At 52.6% G+C, this 6,125-nt stretch overlaps 1 annotated feature.

Annotated features, from left to right (window-relative positions):
* Window positions 794-973: an enhancer, noted in NCBI's record as "active region_22177". NCBI's record gives its function as "activates an Ori minimal core promoter by ATAC-STARR-seq in GM12878 lymphoblastoid cells {active_cell/tissue: GM12878}" and the evidence as "EXISTENCE:reporter gene assay evidence [ECO:0000049][PMID:35858748]".

The raw sequence follows: 6,125 nt of genomic DNA, 5'->3' as shown, positions 1-6,125 counted from the left end.
CTGAAACCTGAGAAGGCACTCTTACTTGGAAATAAGGTCTTTGCAGACACAGATGGGATCATTCTGGATTAGGGTGGGCCCTCATCTAATGACTGGTGTCCTTAGAAGCAGAGGAAACAGAGACCCAGGGACACGCAGGAGACGATGCCTTATGCCAACTGAGGCCGAGAGTGGAGTGACATCTATAAGCCACGGCACACTGGCCACCGCCGGAAGCTGCAAGAGGCAAGGCAGCTTCCTCCCCCCGGAGCCGTCAGAGAGCGCAAGGCCCTGCCCGCGCCTTGATTTCAGACTCCAGCCTCCAGAACGTGAGACAACTTTCTGTTGTTTTTACCTCCACCCCCTCTCCAGTTTGTGTCACTTTGTTAAGGCAGCCCTAGGAAATGAATACTCCCTCCCACCCACTTCTCTTTGCCTCCACTCTGCTGGAGTGCCGGGCCTGGATGGGGAACAGGCCTGGCAGGGTTGCCCCTGGGACTACCCAGGGTAGCCTGACTGAGCACCTATGTAGGCAAAGAAAACAGAAGAAAACAAAACAAGACATCTGGTAAAATTTGAATTTCAGATCAACAACAAATTAACTTTTTTAGCATAAATATATCCCAAATATTGCCGGGATATACTTGTACTAGCAAATAATTGTAATTGCTCAGAAATTTATTTAACTGGGCCTGGGTGTCTGCCTTTTATCTGCAACCCTAGCCGCCTGCTCCGGCCTCCCTCCCCTGCCATTATCTTCCAGCCCAGGGCTCACAGAAGGGCCCTGGGGGTGGGCTCTGACCTGCTTCAGGAGCACAGCAAGGTGGCGGCGGCCAGCGAGCCTGGGCAGAACTGCTCTGAAATCCATGAGTGCCCGAGCCCCTGGCCCCCCATGCACCGCCAGCAGCCTGCGGTCTGAACATCATCTCTCCCAGCTGGGTGCAAGTCTGGCAGGATTTGAACATACGGAGGAGGCAGCAGGGAGGGGAGGGTGAGGCCTGCCTGGGGCGCCTTCCAGCAGGGGGAACCGAGCCTCAGGTGCTTCCTGCTGAGTGGTGCTTGGCTTTGGCCGGTGCACTTCGATTTGTTCTATTTTTAACTGTCTTCAATTTCCCTCCTGGGGAAAGGGAGAAGGAGGAGGGAAACAAGGAGGTGGGGAGTGGGGAGTGGGGAGTGAATCCGGGGGACTCGGGAGTGGTTGGTGGGGCTGTGCTGAATTCTGAGGAACAGCAACGCCAAGGCAAAGACAGAGGGCGAGGCTTTTTGGGGAAGAGAGAGAGGGTGGCCGGCCAGGCAGGAGCACAGGGCACCTGAGAGGGCTCAGGGACAGAGGAAGTCCCATTCTTGGCTGAGGAGAGACAGAGGGGCCTGGGCTTGGGTGCCAGACCAAGCTAGTCAGAAGGACTCTGCAGCACCCAGTGATTGATGGCACATAGCGGACATGGTGACTCTGAGCACACACGCTGGGGTGACTAGGAGGATGATGGTACCATTACCCAAAAACATCCCAGGAGAAGGAGGAACAGTGGGAGGTAGAGGCCCCAACCCCACACTGGGGGAAATGTCCACAGGCATTTGCGGATGGTGACTGTTCAGCAGTGCGTGGCTCATTCCAGAGCGCCCTGGCCTGCGGGCAGGGTGGCCTCTTGCCTCTGGGGGCTGGGACCGCCTGTTCCTGCACTGCTCATGGACTTACTGCTTCTGCAGACAGGCCCTGGTCTTCGGGGCCAAGGGGCACAGAGCCAGTTCCTTCTGTGAGCGAGAGCAGGACTCACGAGAAGGCCCATCCTGTAACTGGTGAGTGTGGAATGGCCACTCCACAGAGAACAGACCTGGGGGCCAGGGTGGCAGAGGGCTTGGGGAGGGGGCACCACATTCTGGATAAAGGACAGCTCTGCAGCTCTTTGTAGCAGGATGTGCCCTGGTCCTGGGGCCAGCAGGAGCAACGTTTCTGGGCAGGGGGCCTTTTCTGCGCTCTTGGACAGAAGGGCCCAGGGCTTAGCCCATTCATTCACTCACTGCTTACCCACTTACCCAACAAACAACAAGTTCTGTCACCTGTCTGTCACCTGCCTAACACTGTGCTGGAGCCTGGGGATACAAACAGGAGTGATCCCAAAGGGTTTAGAGTCTGAAGTCAGACACAGGAACCAACAAGGAGAGCCATCTCCGTGGAGGCAGGAGACCCCGGGAAGGAAAGGCCTCAGGCCTTGAAGCCACAGATACCTGAAATTGAATCTTGGCCCAGCTTCTCACGAAAGCTCTTTCGGCTTCAGTTTCCTCATCTGTAAAATGGGGAAACGTTCAAATCTACCTTCAGGGTTGTTATTGTTGGATTAGAGATGCGGAATCTAAATTCCGTACATAACGCATGGCGTGTGTTAGCCCTCAGTGAATCGCAGCTGCTAGATAATACACGCAGAGCACAGTGGACACCTAAAGCGTGGCTTGAGCTCATAATATTTGACCTCAAATATTGAAAATTGGTTGGGTTTTGTAACCGCCCAAGGGGTTCACCTTGCCCGCTGTGAGACAGAGTCGATTCATCAAGACAGGGGAATTGCAATAAAGAGAAATTCATGCGGAGCCGGTTGTGTGGGAGACTGGAGTTTTATTATTACTCAAATCAGTCTCCCAGAGCAATTGGGGAGCAGAGTTTTTAAGGATAACTTGGTGGGTGGGGGGAAGCCAGTGAGCCAGGAGAGCTGATTGACCAGAGATGAAATCATAGGGAGTCGTGTCTTTTTGCACTGATTCAGTTACTGGGTGGGGGGTCCGAAAGATCATATGAGCCAGTTTATTGATCTGGGTGGTGCCAGCTGATCCATCAAGTGCAGGATCTGCAAAATATCTCAAGCACTGATCTTAGGAGCAGTTTAGGGAGGGTCAGAATCTTGTAGCCTCCAGCTGCATGACTCCTAAACTAGAATTTCTAATCCTGTGGCTAATGTTAGTCCTACAAAGGCAATCTAGTCCTCAGGTAAGAAGGAGGTCTGCTTTGGGGAAAGGCTGTTACTGTTCTTTGTTTAAACTATAAACTAAGTTTCTCCTAAAGTTAGTTCAGCCTACACCCGAGAATGAACAAGGACAGCTTGGAGGTTAGAAGCATAGCAAAGGTGGTTTCAGTTTCATGAGGACTTTATTGTTATAAAACAGGGCCAGAAGGAGAAGTATTTAGCATTGAGCCTTAGTTAATCTTCATTTCAAATCTAGAAGGCAGTTTAGATTTTGGGGCCAGAGTTGCTTGGCTTCAAATTCTAGCTTTGATATCTGTGAGCTGTGTACCTTGGACAAGTTACTTTGCCTCTCTGTGCCTCAGATGCTGCAGCTCAGTGGGTGGGGATGGGGGCAATAATATATCTATCACATAGGAATTTTTGTGAGGACGAAGTGAACTCATAGGTGCAAAGCATTTAGAATACTGTCCAGGCATGGTGCAGTGTGCTCAGGCCTGTAATCCCAGCACTTCGGGAGGCTGAAGTGGGAGGATCCCTTGAGCCCAGGAGATTGAGACCAGCCTGGGCAACATAGGGAGACCCCATCTTTACAAGAAAATTTCAAAAAAATTAGCCAGGCATGGTGGTGCACGCCTGTAATCCCAGCTACTTGGGAGGCTTAGGTGGGAGGATCACTTGAGCCTGGGAAGTCGAGGCCTGGGAAGTGAGCCAGGATGGCGCTACTGCACTCAAACCTGGGCGACAGAAGGAGACTCAGTCTCAAAACAAACAAACAAGCAAACAAACAAAATTAAATAAATAAACACTGTCCAGCATGCAATAGGCACCACTGGTGTTCCTGTGTTTATGATTATTATCCACATTACACAATGAGGAACGGGCACAGCAGCCTTGCCTATCGTAACCACAGCCCACAGCAGGTGAGGGGTAGAGCCAGGACTTCCACCGGCCATAGCTCAGAAGCCCACCCTTGCTCTTCCTACTTCCACAACGGCCAATGCTGCTGCCCCTGATCCCAGCAGAGCTCCGTGGCCAACCACACTGGCATTGAGCCTTAGTTAAGGCTTAGTTAAGGAAGGGCGAAGTGAGTGGAAATCGGTGGAAAGGGGTTGGTCCTCACCACGTAGCCCCTTCCTGAGGGGAGAGGCCACAGTGGAGGGGAGGCTGAAGACAGGTCCCGGCAAAGCCCACACTGGGGGCAGCGGCAGACGAGGGAGACCCTTAGAGAGGTAGGAGATCCAGAGGGCAAAGCTCTGCATGCAGAGAAGCGCAGTTTTCTAGAAGCTGATGGAAAGCGCAAGAAGGTGCTGGGGCCGGAAGGGCCATGGGGTTGGTGACCAGGAAGTTAAGCAATTGGGCAGCAGCAGAGGGAAGAGCTAAATTGTTTCAGAGCAGAGGTGACCGTGTAGAGCAGAGGAGAGCAAACCCCCTTCAAGAAATCTGGCTCTGAGGGGAGCGGAGGTGTGGGGGTAAGCACGGCTGGGGGAGCTGGCCTGGGAGGGCCTCTGGCATGGAGGCCAAAGCCTTTCTTTTGGTTAAAGCTGGGATGGAGAAGGTTTTTCTTTCCAGGGTTCCGATCCCAGGTGGAAGAGTCAATCCAAGACCACACACAGGGAACCGTCCGATGTGTGCTGCTGGCGTGCGGGTGGCACCTCTGCGTCCTCAGCCCCAGCTGGGCGGCAGCGTCTCCCTGGAGCCCTGTCTCAGTGCCCCTCAGGGCTGGCCCAAGGGAATGAATGGAGGTAATTAGAGAAAAGGCCCATGACTAAAATCATGCACACCGTGGACCAGGCGCCTCAAAGGATCTTCAGATTCTGGCCCTCTGTGCGGTCCCCTCTGCTTCCTGCCCTCTGTGGTTGACATGTCCATTGTTGGGGTTCAGAAAACCATACCCCAAAATGAAGGCCTCAGAAGCAGCCTCCAAAACAAAAGTTTTTCTCTGACCTTCCCAGGCCCTCCTCTCTCTCAGCCCCATTCCCCCAGCCAGGGAAACTAGAATCCCTTTTCCTCAAGGTGGGTCATAGAAACCAGAACTCCTTCTCCCCAAAGCCCGCCATAAAACCTGAAAATATATGGCCAGGCGCGGTGGCTCCCGCCTGTAATCCCAGCACTCTGGGAGGCCGAGGTGGGTGGATCATGTGGTCAGGAGTTCGAGACTAGCCTGGCCAACATGGTGAAACCCCGTCTCTACTAAAAATACAAAAATTAGCCGGGCGTGATGGTGGGCGCCTGTAATCCCAGCTACTAGGGAGGCTGAGGCAGGCAAATCGCTTGAACCCGGGAGGCGGAGGTTGGAGGTTGCAGTGAGTGGAGATGGTGCCATTGCACTCTAGCCTGGGTGACAGAGTGAGACTCTGTCTCAAAAACAAACAAACTAACTAACTAACTAGCTAAAAATATTACTTGAAATTTATCCCACCATTCTGCATAAGAACTGGCCATAAAGAAACTATCCAACCCACCTTGTTGGACTATGGATCATAAGACCCCTATTCCAGAGAGGACCCTGCCCCACACCCAGGAGAAACGAAGCTGCCCAGAGAGGCCAAGAAGAACTGGACAGAAAGACCTTGTTGGTGTTCTGTTCAATCTCCTAACATTAGCTCAGGCTCTTCTTGTCCAGTCATATTTCTACACTGCTGTCCATAATTTGTTGTACCTAAACATAAAACAGTTTCCCCTCATCTGTGCATCTTATTCTGAAGGCTCCTGTGTACACATATTAAATAAATTTGTGTGCCTTTTCTCCTGTTACTCTGCCTTATGTGAATTCATTTTTCTTTTCTTTTTTTTTTGAGATGGAGTCTCACTCCGTTGCCCAGGCTGGAGTGCAGTGGCGTGATCTTGGCTCACTGCCACCTCCACCTCCCAGGTTCAAGAGATTCTCCTGCTCAGTCTCCCTTGTAGCTGGGATTACAGGTGAGACACACTCCACCATGCCCGGCAAAGTTTTGTATTTTTAGTAGAGACGGGGTTTCACCGCATTGGTCAGGCTGGTCTTGAACTCCTGACCTCAGGTGATATGCCAGCCAGCCTCAGCCTCCCAAAACGTTGGGATTACAGGTGTGAGCCACCGCGCCCGGCCATGAGTTCATTTTTCAGCAAAACTTCAGAGGGCAGAGGTTTCCCTTCCCCCTCTATGCCAGGCATGGAGATGGGCGATGGCACAGCAGGCCCCCAGCAGCCATG

Source organism: Homo sapiens, chromosome 4 (assembly GCF_000001405.40).
Source record: "Homo sapiens chromosome 4, GRCh38.p14 Primary Assembly".
Classification (NCBI taxonomy): Eukaryota; Metazoa; Chordata; class Mammalia; order Primates; family Hominidae; genus Homo; species Homo sapiens.
The sequence above is the reverse complement of the archived record's forward strand: the minus strand, read 5'-3'. Positions and strand labels throughout refer to the sequence as shown.